General features: G+C 53.0%; 1 protein-coding gene and 1 long non-coding RNA gene across 2 annotated transcripts in view, besides 1 other annotated feature; one reads left to right on the top strand and one right to left on the bottom strand.

The window, feature by feature from the left end:
* NOL4L (nucleolar protein 4 like) overlaps positions 1 to 16,103 on the top strand; it is a 142,275-nt gene that overhangs the window by 61,953 nt on the left and 64,219 nt on the right. Inside the window, exons 3-4 of the mRNA NM_001256798.2 lie at positions 2,459 to 2,570; positions 11,925 to 12,034. Of these exons, the coding sequence (NP_001243727.1) occupies positions 2,459 to 2,570; positions 11,925 to 12,034 (222 nt within the window). The remainder of the gene's footprint in view (positions 1 to 2,458; positions 2,571 to 11,924; positions 12,035 to 16,103) is intronic.
* Positions 3,096 to 13,422, bottom strand: LOC101929698 (uncharacterized). The gene is made up of 3 exons (NR_110619.1): positions 12,713 to 13,422; positions 11,993 to 12,166; positions 3,096 to 3,982 (listed from the first exon to the last, which is right to left on the bottom strand). It is a non-coding gene; the product is annotated as an uncharacterized LOC101929698 (long non-coding RNA).
* Positions 12,008 to 12,403: a silencer, noted in NCBI's record as "fragment chr20:31098781-31099176 (GRCh37/hg19 assembly coordinates)". NCBI's record gives its function as "represses an EF-1alpha promoter that drives an FKBP-Casp9 reporter gene in an ReSE screen in K562 erythroleukemia cells {active_cell/tissue: K562}" and the evidence as "EXISTENCE:reporter gene assay evidence [ECO:0000049][PMID:32094911]".

Below are 16,103 nucleotides of genomic sequence, written 5' to 3'. Positions count from 1 at the left end.
CAGGTCCCTACGGCAGTGCAGAGCTGGGCTGGACTCTGCGCTTTATTGACTCCCCAGGGAGCTCTAAGCCAGGCTTGCAGACAATCCAGCCTTGTGGGGCAGGGCTTCCCTCCCTGGCCCTCAGGCAGTTCCAAGGACTTCTCACCTGTCAGCCTTCTATCCTCCCCTTCCACCCATCAATGGGACCCAGGGCCAGAAGGTGTGTGCTCAGCACTCCCCTCCCTGTGGCACGCCAGCCAGCCTTTGCACACTGCTGGGGTCCCTGCCAAGGCCAGGATAAATGTGGCCACCACTCTACCCCTGGAGAGGGAGCCATTCCTATTCCCTCAGCTGGCCAGGCAGCAAGAAGGGCCCTGCCCATCCTGTGTGCAGCCCTCAGCAGAGCAGCCAGGCCAGGAGGACCCCCTGAGCCCTTTAAAAAATATTTCTCTGCCCATTGGCAGGTGAGCAGGCAAGCTTTGGGTAGCTTAGTAGGGCTGCCCTCATGGTAGGGACCTGGCCCTCTTCTCCCAGCTGACTGTGCAACCCTCCCCCGGGCCCTCCACTGAGCTCTCCTGAGGCCTGACCTAGGGTGCCACGTCTCAGGGGAGCCGAGGGGCATCTGTCGGCCCAAGTCAGCCACAGCCCTCTGCTCTGCCTAGCACACGCCCTTCCCTCCTGCACACTTGCTCCTGCAGCTGCCACCCTTCAGCCAGACATCTCTCTCCAGACCCAGCTGGCCTGAGAGGAACGTGCCCCCAGACTTCCAGGCAGCCCTGGGCTGCTCTGCTGAGGGCTGCACACAGGATGGGCAGGGCCCTTCTTGCTGCCTGGCCTACTGAGGGCACAGGAATGGCTCCCTCTCCAGGGGTAGAGTGGTGGCCACATTTATCCTGGCCTGGGCTAGGGATGAAGCTCTCTGTGTGCATGGCAGAAAAGCCCCATCCCTCGGACCTGACACCTGACAAGGACCAGCTGCATCCCTGATGTTGCTCTCCCATCCGCTGCTCCAGTCAGAGACACTGGGGTTTGCCCTTGTCCCTGACCTCCAGAGGAAGGCAATCAGACAGGGAATTTGGAAGGGAGATAACTCATCAAGGAGCCTGCCTGCTCCACAGAGCATCAAATCAGCTGAGAAATAACAATTGTGTCACCAAAATTAACTTCGCATTTGCAGCTGGCAAGAGTGGCCCCTGGACTCTGCCAGTGGGCTGAGCTGGAAGCTGTGCCTGAGCTGGTCCTCCAAGAGCCCAGCCACAGCCTGGGACACCCCAAGCCTTCTGCATCCCCCCACAACTCCACTCCCCAGCCCCGCCCTAGCCCACCTCTACCCTCCAGCCATCACAGAGATGGAGAAGGACATTCGTGCATTTCTAAAGGAGCAAACCCCTGCAGTTGCTGTGGGAAGGCGGGGCCAAGCGCAGCGCAGAGCAGCCCCTCACCCTTGGCCAACTTTCCCAGCCCGGCTGCGGGCTGCGGCGAGGACAGCGGAACGCTTGGGTGATGCTGCCCCTTAGTGGAGAGGTGCGGGAGGACCCAGGCTCCAGGAAGCACATGGAAAACCAGTAACTGGGCAGTCTCAGCCCAGGGAACCTGGGACTGAAGGGACTCTTTGGCCCCACCAGACAGCTAAATCAGGGTCAGTGGCTTTTCCAAAACCCAGAGCAAGAGGAAAGGGCTGGACACCTAGGCCCACAGCCACTTCTTCCCCACTCCCCCACCCAGCCCTTTTTTCATGTTCCCTCCCTTCTTTGTGTCTCTCCCCCAGCCCTCTGCATCCCTGTCCTCCTCCTCAACTAGGGGAGGCCTTCTGGAGGCAACTGTGGAGTGGTGTGACCTGGAACATGGGGTTTAGTCTGGCACTGCCTTGAAAATTCCTTGTGACCTTGGGGAGTCAGCTCACCTCTCCAAGCCATAGTTGCCTGGAACATGGGGGTCCTGCAGAGCCTGTCTAGTTTGAAAAGTCTGATGCCTGGTACTAGCCCTTCACAGCTCTTCCTAAGAAGGTTCTTGACCTGTCAGTGATCACAGGAGATGGCTTGTAGGACCTTTGGTTCTGTGTATGGGCCTGGGGCAGTGAATTTATCTGTGGGTCTCAGTCTATCCATCTCTAAGAGGGGAACTGCTCACCCTACGCTAGAGCAATGTTTGTAAGCCCATTTTTTTGTAGCAGCAATAAAATGTTCTGAGGAATGTTACTTATTAGAATATAGGTTAAAGACTAGATAATGTTTAAAGGGTTTGCTTTTTCAATTTTTAACCTCCTTTATTGCGATTTTTAAAACAAATGGTTTTCCACAAAAGTACTGTCTCATTGCCACAGCTGAGAATCCAGGACACCTGTCCCTTGCTCCTCAAATCCCTGACTTTCCTTGCAAGAGCCGAAGCACCTGCCACCAAAGCTCAGACCTTGGTGACCCCATGGCCAAGTTGCCTCCCCACAGATCCATATAACAAGCGAAGCTCTTCTCTCCTCCAGATCGCAGAGACCTATGCCTTCCTCCCGAGAGAGGCCGTGACCCGGTTCCTGATGAGCTGTACGGAGTGTCAGAAGAGGATGCACTTTAACTCCAATGGCCTGGAACCCAAAGGTAGCAGGGGTGGCGTGCTGGAGGGCTAGGGCGGGGGCCATCTAAGAGTGGACTGTCCCTGAAGACGCCAGCTTTTGCTGGCACAGAAAAGTGTCCAGCAGCTGTTGTTGCTAGTCCCAGAGGCCAGTATGGGTCCGTGGTGCTGCCCAAAGCGCCTTGTTTTGTTTCGTTTAACTTTTTTTAAATCTCAAATTTCACTTAAAAACCAACCATACAAAACAAAAAAGTGAACAACATGTTTCCCCTGCCTTGCAAGGCCCCGGCCAGCCCCTTTCCTCCCAGCCGGATTCCAGTTGGGAATGGCCAGCCTGCCCCGTTCTCAAAGTTCCATCCATGCCTCCCACTGCTTCTCCATGCACGAGGGTCTGGCCTGTACCCTCCCTGAGACGTGTGCATGCATCCTCCCACCCACATACCTGTTAATGATACATCTTCCCTGGTGCTTGTTTCCACCCTGTGCACACCCATGTGGCCTCTGATAAGTAAACCCACGGAGTACTGATGATAATTTTTTTTTTTTTTTTTGAGACAAAGTCTCGCTCTGTCGCCCAGGCTGGAGTGCAGTGGTGCGATCTCGGCTCACTGCAAGCTCCGCCTCCCGGGTTCATGCCATTCTTCTGCCTCAGCCTCCCGGGTAGCTGGGACTTCAGGTGCCCACCGCCACGCCTGGCTAATTTTTTTTGTATTTTTAGTAGAGATGGGGTTTCACCATGTTAGCCAGGATGGTCTCGATCTCCTGACCTCATGATCTACCCGCCTTGGCCTCCCAAAGTGCTGGGATTACAGGTGTGTAATCTGCACCCGGCCGACTGATGAGAATTTAAAATGACCAGGGCAGGCTGGGCACAGTGGCTCATGCCTGTAATCTCAGCAGTTTGGGAGGCTGAGGTGGGAGGATTGCTTGAGCCCGGGAGGTGGAAGCTGCAGTGAGCCATGATCATGCCACTGCACTCCAGCCTGGGTGACAGAGTTAGACCCCATCTCAAAAAACAATAAAATAAAATGCCCAGAGCACTTGTGACCACCAAAGGTGATCCCTTGGACTGACGTCCATGCCCTCCAGCTCTGTCCTGCCCAGTGAGACCAGCAAGGACCTCACTTCAGCACCCCCGCACCCCCTCAAACTGAACATCCCAGAGGCCTCCAGGAAATCTGGGGGCCCATCTGTTTGCAGGTGGCTTTGGCACATTGAGACGGCCCAGCACATTTGGCTGGTACAATTATAATGCTGCCCTGAGAAATGGTGCCCAGGTGGGCGATTTATCAGGGTTTCCAGGACTGCCTGGTGCATCATGCCAGCTCCCGGGCATCGGGCCTGTGGAAGTTGCTGAAGTCAGGCCCGAGGATGGAAACAGACTCGAATGAAGGGCGCGCCGTTTATCCGGGTGGCACTCAAGTAGCATCCATTGAATCTGGGGAAGGAAAAATCCACAGCAAAGCCTGAGCAGACAACAAAGGATTGGGAGCATGGGCGTCAAGCGGGGCTTTCTGCTTGTGTTCATTGTCCCTGACACACGTGAACGGCTTCTGACAGCAGCTGACTCACCAAATCCAGAGGCTTCCATGCCCTTGGGAGCCATCAGGCCACGGCTGTTTCATTGGGCACATGGGCCAACTTCAAAGCACGAGGGGCAGGAATGGATCTAGTTAATCCCTCATAAATGCTGGTTCCCATGTTAAGAACAGGGCTCCAGGGCTGCACTACCATTCAGCTGCTGTGTGTCCTGGGCAAGGGACTTCATCTTTCTGAGCCTCAGTTCCCTCATCTGTGAAATGGGGTTAATCAGAAGGCTGACAAGATATGGGTTAGTCCCTGTACCTGGCATTGGTGCAGGAAGAGAGAGCTGTGGCTGTTGCGGTTCCTGTTATAATGCTGGACACTCCCTCGATGCATGCCTGAGCCAGTGATCCTGAATGCTGCCACCCACGTGGGCTGCCCCTGGCCAGGCAGCAGCTGCAACCCCTGGGCCAAGACAGCATTTGGTACCTGCAGATGGGCTGGAGGGCTTTCCCTGCCCCACTCTCCACCCTGCCAGGGTTTAGGCCGCAGGGGCCAGGGGTGTGTGTCCTAGTGGTGACTGCCTGGTTCCTGCCCACCCATCCGCCTGTCCCCTCCCGTTCCTTTCCTCATTGTTTCCATAGCAACTGGCGGAGTCAGACACAGAATTGCTTGCCTGGAGGAACAGAGGCGAAGCCAAGAGGGGCTCCATTTGTGGGCTGCTCTGGGGTGTCTGAGGCGCCATCCGCTCCCCTCTCCTGCCACACATCCCACGGCAGTATGGAGGGCATTCCTCAGCTCCCTCCGCACTCCTCACTGATGGCTGCGAGGTCTCCCCATGCTGCAGGCTGCACTCCTCATCTGTGGGCTTCTGTGTGGCCAGGAGGGCAACGCGGAGCACAGCAGTGGCCTGCTTCCTCTCCTCGCTGGCTGCCACCACCACACCCCACCCCCAGGGAGGAGAAAGAGGCCAGGGAGCGAGGGAGCACACAGGCCAGGAGCCATCTAGAATATAAACCAGCGCTGAAGCCCATCTTTCCTGGGGCTTTCTTCAGGCTGGACAGAAGACTAGCACCATGCCCATTCTCACCCATCCTCCCCCATCCTCAGACACAATGCCATCTCTGTCCCAGGTAGCGGAGCTTCTCCTCGCAGGGAGAGGAGAAGACGCTGAGGGAGCAGGAGCCCGGGGAAGTGGCTCATGGAAGGGCATGGACTTGGAGTCAGGCAGGTCTGGTGTGCAGCCCTGTTCCCCACTGTGTGTCCCTCGGCAGGACAGGGAACCTCTCTGAGCAGTTCCTGATCATGACAGTTACAAAGATCCTATGAGGTGTTAGTCCTGGCTTACAGGTAAGGAAACTGAGGCACAGAGAGGTGTTGAGGTGAAATCATACATCCAAGCTCTCCCAGGAGATAGAAGTGCAGGCAGGAAACCATATTTTCTCATCAGCAAAGTGGAAGGAATGCCATCCTTTCAGGGTGGTGAGGGTGAGCCTATTGTGGAGGGCACCTGGGACGCAGCGGGTGCCTGGGGAGCATCACCCTGCCTCCTGCCTCCAGCCCGTGTCGTGGCCTACGGTGCCCAGACACAAGGCTGCCAACGTCCAGGTGGCCCAACAGAGACACAAGGTCTGCCTCTACCCAGGTAGGGTCAGATGTGGCCCCCAGCCCTGCCAGGCAAGCATGCTGGGTCCACACCCTGGACAGGGTTAGAAGGGAAAGGCCTGGTTTCTGGAAGCTGCCAGTGGAGAGTTTTGAGTCTGAAAGGCTCCACTGTCTGCTAAGTGGCCAGAGGCATTCGCCTCCTGGACCGTCCCCAGGTTCCCCTCCTCCTGCCCCCGCTGAAAGCCTGCAGATCCTATCTCTGCCCGCCATGCTGGCCACTGGATGCAGCTATAGCCTGCTGTCTCCCAGGCACCCCTGCATTGCCAGCCCTCCCTTCTCCCTCTCCAGCTGCTGGGAAAGCAGAGCCTGCACCAGCCCCAGAGGCAGACCCAGTGTTCCTGCCCCAGGAAGGTGGGAGGGAGCGGGGACAGGGGACAGGATGGAGGCTCCTTGAGGGCTGCTGGGAGAATGCCTGGCTTCCTGGCCTTATGTTAAAAAGAAAGAAAGGAAGTAGAGTGGCCTCCTTTGCTCAGCGGTCTCTCCCCAGCAGAGTGGGGGGGACCTGGACAGCCCCGTGCCCTCCCCCAGTGCCAGGAGCATAAACAAAGGAGGTGGCAGAGGATCAGGAAGTCTGAGGACGGGAAATTCCAGGACCTCCTGACTCCACACTCCTCTTCCACCAGTCCCTGAGGAATTGAGGACACAGCATGCAAAGTGGGTGTGACTTTAGACCAGCCCAGCTCTTGGGGAAAGGGACCTTTGGAGGCATGTCTCTGTTTTCTTTGATGTGACAAAATATTGTTGCATGGTTGCAAACTGGGAGTAGCCAATGGGCAGCAATGCTGACTCTTCCTCAGTAGGCAGGTTGTCCACTTGGGTCTCCACCCCTTCACAACCAGGCCCAGACTCCTCTGCGTGGTTTCCAAGGCCCTCCATGCCTGGCCCCTCCACATCCCTCCTTGCCAGCCTGGCCTCTCCCGGCTCTCACACTTGCTTGCTGTGGGACTGTGGGAAGGTTGCATAGCTTCTCTGTGTGCTGTTGCCTCATCTGTAAAGTCAGGGTATTACTATGAGCACCCACCTCACAAGGTTCCTGGGAGCCTCTAACCAGAGTGTGTGTGTGGAGCCCTAAGCAGGTGCTAAGGAGCTGTCAGCTGAGCAATAGTTCGTGAGTCCCATTCCGATTCTCTCTACGAAGCTTCCTTGAGCGACTCCGGGGCCCTCTCAGCTCTTCCTCCAGTGACCCTAATGGCCTCACGTCTGTCGCACCCTGCTCATCCTTCACCCTTGTTTCCTGAGCCTGGGGACTGCACCGCACACAGTTTCCTCACGTTCCCCACCCGGATAGCATGCACATCAGCACTCCTCGAAGACTTGCCAATTCAATGATTTACTTCCCCAGGAAGGAGATTTTTTTTTTTTTGCCACCTTTTGAGCTGGTCTCAGGCCTGGGATCTCTGTTTCCAAATTTGAACCCCCTGAGGCTGGCTGGTCTCACGGCCTCTCTGTGCCAGGCCCCCATCGTGCACACATCCTTCGACGCCCACCCCTGCCTGGAAGATCTTTCATACCTGTCTCTGGACTGAGAGTTCTTCGTGCTGTAGGTGAAAGCTTGTGAGCATCACCACCTGGTGTTCCCACGAGGAAATGAGGGTCACTCCCATGGTTGAGGTTTGCATTGGTTGATGAGTGCCATTGGCGCCCAGCTGCACAGGCCAGCAAACAACCTGGCTTGGCCCAAGCACCCACATCATTGATTATTCTCGAGACTGCATAAAACTAGGTCTAGTGCCTGGGCTGGTTTCCATTTTTCTTGGCAAAGAGATGTTGAAAGATCTCTCTGGGCTCTTGTTGTGCTTCTCTTGCCAGCAACCTGCTGGATGATTTAGGCTCCGTGACCCTTGCTAGCTCCTAGCTCACCCTTCTCCATGGCAACAGAGTCCAGCGGTGCCGCACTATCAGGTCATTTGTAGAGGCTCGAGTGTGGCACCACATGTTGACCATGGGCAGGGAGGGGGGCGGCGTGTCTCAGAGTCCAAGGAACCCACTTCTTCCTTGTTCACGTTTCCACCTGACCTTGTCCCCCATCCTGGCGTTTTTCTCACTGGTGAGCATCTGACTCTGCGGCTTCCACTGGCCCCTGCTCCGTCTCTTTCCCACTAAGCCCATCCTCTCAGTGTGCACCCACTTATTGAATCCAGAACACCTGGGGCTCCTCACTGCTGAAAAGCTTGCCTGCTTTTCTCCTCACCCTGGTGTGGTTGAGCTCTGACCTCCCACCCATGGCTCCATGGCTCATTTCCTCACCTAGAATGTCCCCTCCCTGCGGAGGTCCTCCCTCCCCCACAGAACTCTCATTCTGGAACTGCAAAATCAAGCATTTCACCTTACAGCAATGTAAGGTGTTCTCCGATGGGTTTAGGGGTCTGCTCGGGATGTTCCAGCTTCCCCAAGACCAGGACATCCTGCCTTCCTCTTCTGAGCTCTCTTGGCTTACCTGCAGGCACGGGAAGTGGTTTCTCATCTCTGGAGACACTGGGGTGGGAACAGGCCAAGGAAGACCTCTTCTCACGCCTCCCAAGGGTGCTGTCCTGGCCACTGTTTTATTTTTCCTAAGCCACACTGTCACTAGCTTTATTAAAGATACTTTCTCATGAACAGTCATGACACTGCAGTCAGGACAGGGGCGACCATCAGTAGAAGAACACAGCTCCCCGCCTCCGTGCCTCCCAAACCTAGACAATCCCTGCAACACCCAACGAAGGGCCGACCGGGGCCGCGAGAGTGCTGGGCGCCCTTCACACTCACCATGATGTCACACTCACCATGGTGCTTAACAGCTTCTCACCAGACAGCCTCCTCTTAGAGGAAACAGAAATGGCAGAATTCTCAGTCCAAACATCCACCTCTGAAAACAGGACCCACGGCTCTTCTGAGCGATACCATCTCAGTGTCATCACTAGACTGCCTGCCTGACATGTGGCATCCGACCCGGTCAATGTATGGGGCTAGGGTTTAAAACCCCACTGAGGTTAAGAAAGTCAAATCTAGGTTGACGGTGGGGTGGAAACCCATTTGAGTTTGGTATCGGTGCAGAGGATCCCTGCCACCCAACCAAGCAGAAGTCTCTCTTAAAAAAAGGAGGAGGAGGGGGTGGTTCCTTTCAGGCCAGTTTCTTAGCCATTCCATTAGTGACATTTACTTTTTTTTTTTCCTTGGGACGGAGTCTTGCTCTGTCACCAGGCTGGAGTGCAATGACATGACCTTGGCTCACTGCAACCTCCACCTCCCGGGTTCCAGTGATTCTCCTGCCTCAGCCTCTGAAGTAGCTGGGATTACAGGCATGCGCCACCATGCCCAGCTAATTCTTGAATTTTTAGGAGAGTGGGGGTTTGTCATGTTGGTCAGGCTGGTCTCCCAACTCCTGACCTCGGGTGATCCGCCTGCCTCAGCCTCCCTAAGTGCTGGGATTACAGGTGTGAGCCACCACACCCAGCCGACGTCTACTTCTTCCTCAAAGAACAAAGAATGAAACATTCTATATGTGACAGGGTAGCTTTAAAGAGCAAAACTAAGTTCTGCATTCCTGTAAAACTTTATTCAAAATGTTATTTGATCTATAAAGTCACCAGAAGTACACAGCGTCAAAGAGGACCCCCATCCTCTAGGCCCCAGCTATTCCGGGTCCCCACCTTTTCTGCAGGGCTGTTCCTATCCTTGCCAAGCAGGAACTTCCCTTGTCCTCTTTGGGTAACTTCACCGCTTGTTGGCAGACTTTTTTTCCTTTTTAAATTATGGTAAAACATTTACAGCACAAAAACTTGCCTTTTTAATAATTTTGTTTGTTTGTTTCTGTTGTTGTTGTTGAGACACAGTCTCTGTCACCCAGGCTGGATCGCAGTGCTGCCTCAACGTCCTGGGCTCAGGTGATCCTCCCACCTCAGCCTCCCGAGTAGCTGGGACTTCAGGCACGTGCCACCACACCCAGCTAACATTTTTACCTTTTAGTAGAGACGAGGGACTCACTATGTTTCCCAGGCTGGCCTTGAACTCCTGGGGTCAAGCAGTCCTCCTGCCTCTGCCTCCCAAAGTGCTGGGATTACATGCGTGAGCCACCGTGCCCGGCTTAATCGTTCCATTTTAAAGATATTATATTCACACTGTTGAGCAATCATCACCACTATCTATTTCCAAAACTTTTTCATCACCCTAAACAGAAACTCTGTACCCATTAAGCAATAACGTCCCATTCCCTCAGCCACCAGTCCCCAGTAACCTCGAGTTACTTTCTGTCTCTTTGAATTTGCCTATTCTAAGTATTTCGTGTAAGTAGAATCATACAGTGGTTGTCGTTTTATGTCTGGCTTCTTGCCCTTGGTATCGCGTTTTCAAGGTTGCAGGGACCCTTTTGGGCTATGGCTCTTGAGGGGCAGGTATTATAAGTCACCCCCGGATATCCTCTGGTCCTCCTGGACCTCGGCCCTGTCACCCTGCAGCCTGTCTCTTGGGCCTCCTTGTGATGGTAGAGGGCACTTGGTCTGGAAGTTGCTCCCACTTTTCCTCACGCTATGGAAATCCCAGCCCATCAGTGGGACTATGTACCAGGGGCACCTTTTGATTAAAAGGCTGGGGCAAAATGAATCTGGCCTGAAGTCCTTGGAAGAAGGAGGAGGAGGCCAGGTAACAAGTAATTGAAACAATTCCTACAGCAGCTTGGTCAGAGATTTTAATGGTTATCAAATTATGTCCCTACCTTTTAATTTCTTGTAATCTGTTCCAAAAAGGCAAGAAATAAGATCAGAAATACGGAGCAATATTTATGCACAAAGATGTCCCCTGCAGTGTTGTTTATAATAGCCCCAATGGGAACAACCTAAATAGCCAATCGTTAGAGAATGACTTAAGCAAATTATGGTAAAATATTACATGGCCATAAAAATTCTACTTACAAAGCAAAATAAGATTCTTGATGTTGGGGAAAATACCTATGACAAAATGTTAAGGAAAAAAAAACTTTTTAAAAGCAGACTGGAATTCTCTGTATGCATTATGAGATCATGTGTAAAAAAGAAAAATCACAGGGAAAAAATAAACAGAAGCATATGCCAAGCTGCGTGGTGCAATTATGGTTTTTAAATTTTTTCTTTACATCTTTCTGTACTTTGCAAATTCTCTGCAAAAAGAACATGCATCACTTTGATCTTCAGGACAACAAAGGAATAAATGGGAGGAGAATGTTCCTCTGCATATGATGAAGGAGGAACCAGAATTTGGGGGCTACTGAAGGCCTGGCTCAGACCTGGGAGGCATAAGGCACCTGAGGATGTTTTTGGGGGATGCTATGGGGTGGCGGGATTGGGTGAGGTGAGAGTGGCATGTGTTCACCTGGAAGATAACTGACTTAGACAGTGGTTGGAAACACAGATGCCTTCAAGGGTCTGGCAAGTATCATAATTGATACTTGCAAATGAGCAAAGCTGTGCAATATGATAAGGAGTGGTGGGGACTGTGGCAAAATGGGAGCCACACACCCTGTCTAAAAGAAGTGGCTGCTGAAGTGGCAGTGGTTGCTTGCCTTCGGGAGTGGGGGCCCCATGTGGCCAGACCTTATGTTCTTCAAAGAAGCCAAAAATTCCTATAAACGTGTGTGTGTGTTGTGGGGGTGGGTTTGCTGGGTTTTTTTGTTTGTTTTTTAGAGATAGATTCTCACTCTGTTGCTGAGGCTGGAGTGCAGTGGTGCCATCACAGCTCACTGCAGACTGCAGCCTTGACCACCTGGCCTCAAGCGATCCTCCCACTTCAGCCTCCTATGTAGCTAGGACTACAGGCACACACCACCACGTCTGGCTAATTTATTTTATTATTTGTAAAGACGAGATCTCCCTGTGTTGCCCAGGCTGGTCTCGAACTCCTGGGGCCTGTGTCCCCTCCTGGGGCTCAAGGGATCCTCCTGCCTTGGCCTCCCAAAGTGCTGGAATTACAGGCATGAGCCAGCACGCCCGGCCTCATTGTTTTTTAACGTGTGAAATCTCTAAATAGAACACTGGCATTTAATAAAAAAAAAATATTTTTGACACCATGCAGTCCACATCTCTGGGCCAGATGTGGGTGAGCCACAGAGTCTGCGACCTCTGACCTGTCCCTTCTCCTCCAAGGTGGCTTCCTCTTCCACGGGCTCTGTTAAATGCTCCATGTGGGCAACAGGCCCGCAGCACAGACTGAAAGGGCTTTCCTTTTGTTCTTTCTGCCAGAAAACGAGCCTCCATCTCCACTGGTCTCTGGGATTATTGATTACAACATGCCCCTCACCTCCACCTACCTGAAGCAGATGAAGCTTCGAGTGATGAATTCCCAGGAGCAGGTAAGGCGGCCGTCTCCCCTCACCCCACCTGGAGGCGTCCTGACTTGCCTGGCGGTGGTTGATTCTTTCCAAGACTTGGGGCCACAGCTTGTGTAAACACACGGGAAATCAAAGAGGCCCTTATCTGGTTATCTGGGTTGTCCAGGCGGAGAGGCGGGAGGCAAGAATGTGTTTCTCGTGAGAGGGTCTCCTGTGCAGACAGCCCTGCAGGTCTTCAGGGAGAAAACTTTCCCCTTGGGTGGGCTCGTGGGAGGAGGGGGAGGAGGGGACGTGGAAGGGAGGGAGCCGCAGCCCTGGCCCCTGGAGTTGTTCTTTCTCTGCTCTGCCCTTTATCGCTGGCCTCTTGCCACCTTCCCCCAGGGAGGCAAGAGAGAGTAGCCGCCTGCCTGTGGCCTCTGTCACTCTTGGGGCCCAGAGGACTAGGGGATAGTCCTTGGAGGGTGGACCTGGGGCCTCCTGGCCGTCCAAGCCTCCCCAGCTGGGGTTTGCCAAGGGCCGTGAGACACCATGGAAACAGGCTATGAAAAGAAACTCCCTCTCGCCTGCCTTCCCACACAGTCCACCTCCTAACCCTTTGCAAAGCACGTAGCCTGACTGTCTTTCAAAGAAGGACTAGGTGAGTTCCCCTCCACCTCCACCCCCCAACCACTGCCTAAAACCAGGGTAATCACTTCTTGCCTTCAGCTTGGAGTGTTCTCATCTCTTATGGCATCCAAACCCATCATGTCCTTGTGGCCCTAGCAGGGGATTGGATTCTTTCTCTCCCATTGAAAGATGGGTCAGAACTCGAGTCTGTCTTCCAGCCCTGGATGCAGCTGTCCTGCGCTGCCGGTCTCCAGCCCTGGGTGCGGCCGTCCTGTGCACTGGTCTCCTTGACAACCCCAGCATGCGTGCTCCGAGGGGGTGGTGGCTCCTTGGCCAGATCCATGGTGATGTAGCAGGACACGTGCAGGTGGCATCTTGGCCCGTGTTACCCAGTTTGAGGACTTCAGCTGGGTGGCTTGAACCTGCAGAGCTGCGTATTCCTTTCAAGAGGCAGGGCGGCCAGCCCTCCTGTCCCCACACTGTGCCCAGACCCTAGAGGCTGTGTGACGTAGGCTTTGCTCTGAGCGGTAGAACTGTTTGCTAGAACTGTGTCTCCCACGTCTTCTCATCTGAGCGTGCCTGTTCTGGGATGGTTGCATCTCCAAAAACTTCACATCATCACAAATAATTCCAGTGGGGAAAATGGGCTTGGGTTGGGTTTCCAACGCACAAAGGCAAAGTAGTTTGAGCTGCAGGAGTGTCGGTAATGAGGGTGTTGCTTTTGTTGTTGGTTATAGAATCCCAGCACCACTGTGCAGCCTCTGCATTAGGTCTCCTCTCACTGCCACTGAAGAGCAATCTGTGGCCTTTCTTTCCTGTAGCCATCCTCACTGTCTCCGGCACCTGGCTTCGTAAACACTGTTATCACCGTGCTCATCTGTGCCCATGAAGAATGAAGCACAAAACCGCACAAACAGCCGGAAGCACAGCCCCCTGGTTTTGTTTCATACAGAATGGCACTAAATCCAGGTCACCACTAGAACCAGTAGTGGTCAGTGTCGTGCAAGTTGCGATCTCTCACTAACAAATCAGATATTTGATCTGGTTAAAAATCCTAACTGTATCTTCACTTGCGTCAATGGAAGGAGGGGAGTTAAGACTATGGGTTAGGTGCTTTAACGAGGATTCAGTCATTCCACAAATATTTATGGAGCTCTGTTCTGTGAGCCAGGCTCTGAGGATTTACAGAAACAGCAGTACCCCTAGATTTTCTTTCTTTTCTTTTTTTTTTTTTTTTTTTTTTTGAGGCAGAGTCTCACTCTGCCACCCAGGCTGGAGTGCAGTGGCCCAATCTCGGCTCACTGTAGCTTCTGCCTCCTGGGTTCAAGTGATTCTCCTGCCTCAGCCTCCCGAGTAGCTGGGGTTACAGGCACCTGCCACCACACCTGCTAATTTTTTGTATTTTTTGTAGAGACAGGGTTTCCTCATGTTGGCCAGGCTGGTCTCGAACTCCTGGGCTCAAGCAATCTGCCTGCCTAGGCCTCCCAAAGTGCTGAGATTCCGGCTGGCATCCCTGTATTTTCTTCTGATCTAGGGGAGACAGACACCAGCCAGAGGATCCCACACAAATGCCCAGCTCACAGCAGGCAGTGATAAACAATGGAGGAAGTGATCAGTGGGGCATTGCCATGGTGCAGAAGGACACGTGGCACTGGGGGTACTTAGGGTGGGCTTGGAGGGTGGACTGAGGCAGGGGTCAGGGAAGCTGTGCCTCAGAAAGGGAGCTTCAGCTGAGAGTGGAATCTGAGGGGAAGAGAGTTCCAGGCCAAGGGAACAGCTTATGCAAAGGCCTTGTGGCTCAAGGGAGGACCAAGCCTTCAAGAGATTTGAGGGGCTGGTGTGGCTGCAGCAGAGAATGTGAGGAGTTCTGTTGCCGAAGCAAAAGGGGGAAAGCACAGTGTTGTGTGCATAAGCACCTGATGAGTATCAGGGGATGAACCGAAGTTCATGACCTGAGATGCAGGAATTGCCCTGGTGAGGCTCTGGTAGCTCCCAAAGGAAGAAAGGACTGTGGAGGGCATTTGTCTCCAGGGTGTTCTGGGAGTCCAGCTGGGGCAGGGCCAAGATCGAGGTGGCCTCTGCTTACAGTGGGGCTGGATGTGACTTCCTCAGCTTCATTAGTAGTTTCCAGGTGGGGGCCTCTGAATGTAGCCAGCTTCTTCTGAGTGCGGCAGGAGATGGAAGTTCAGGCCTGCCTTTCACCACCTGGCAGGTGAAGCAGCCTCCCGCCTCATGCCTAGAGCCCTTCATCTGTCAGTCTTCAGCACTCCATGCAAAGCAATGAGCTCTCAAGGCCTCAGCCTCTTAGGCAGTGCCGTTATCCCTGTTTTATGGCTGGGCACGTGGCGCAAGATGAAATCACATGGCTCACCAGATTATTTATCTGCAGCATCAAGGAAGGGCCAAGGACCCAGCAGTCTTTGATTCTTCAGCTTGAGTTAGAACTAAAAATACATATACTTGAATTACTAGCTTATTTCCTGTGCAGCAAAGGCAGGCCAGGGTGGGCGAATGACTCCCCACCATCCAAACACAGCCGCAGGACAGGTTCGGCTGCTGTCAAATCCGATGTCCCAAGACAAGGCTTTGAGAGTGGTTTCATTTCATCACTCTGACCACAAAATGCCAAAAGAGGACATCTGTAGTGTTTGCAAATTTCTAATGCAGGTTACATGGAAAATAAATCCAATTCTAAAGTAACCGGTAACCAGGATAAATATTTTGTTTTATTTTATTTTATTTATTTATTTTGAGATGTAGTCTCACACCGTCACCCTGGCTGGAATGCAGTGGTGCGATCTCGGCTCACTGCAACCTCCACTTCCCAGGTTCGAGCATTTCTCCTGCCTCTACCTCCCGAGTAGCTGGGATTACAGGAGGCCGCCACTAGGCCTGGCTACTTTTTTTTTGTATTTTTAGTAGAGACATGGTTCACTCTGTTGGCCAGGCTGATCTCGAACTCCTGACCTCATGATCCACCTGCCTTAGCCTCCCAAAGTGCTGGGATTACAGGCATGAGCCACTGTGCCCGGCCAGGATAAATATTTTATTAATGCTGAACAAAGCTCTATATCTGAAAACTTTGGGTAAGAAAAAATCTCAATAATCTGTTTATTTCCAACATCACGTATCCAAGAGACAAATGGTAAGATAAGGAGAACATTTTCCCTCACTTTGCTTTGATCAAAATGCAGGTGGTGGGATTTTCTTGAGGGCTGGACAGAATCATGTTACTTGTAGGCCAGTTGTATCAGATTAATATGCTAGAAAATGAGTCCTTCTCTGCAGAGGGTATTAGATAATATGAAAATTCAATAACAAGATTCACAGAAAGAAGAAAGATTCTTCTTGAAGTCTGGTTCAGTGCACCCAATATTTATAGTGTCCTCAATGTACAAGGCACCGCTATGGGGGTTAGACTCCACCCTCTCGGCACCTCCAGCCTAAGACACAGACCCCAAGAGCTGTCATCAAAGTGGCCACA

The sequence above is a fragment of the Homo sapiens genome, chromosome 20 (assembly GCF_000001405.40).
Source record: "Homo sapiens chromosome 20, GRCh38.p14 Primary Assembly".
NCBI classification, from domain to species: domain Eukaryota; kingdom Metazoa; phylum Chordata; class Mammalia; order Primates; family Hominidae; genus Homo; species Homo sapiens.
This window is presented reverse-complemented; position numbering and strand designations above follow the sequence as displayed.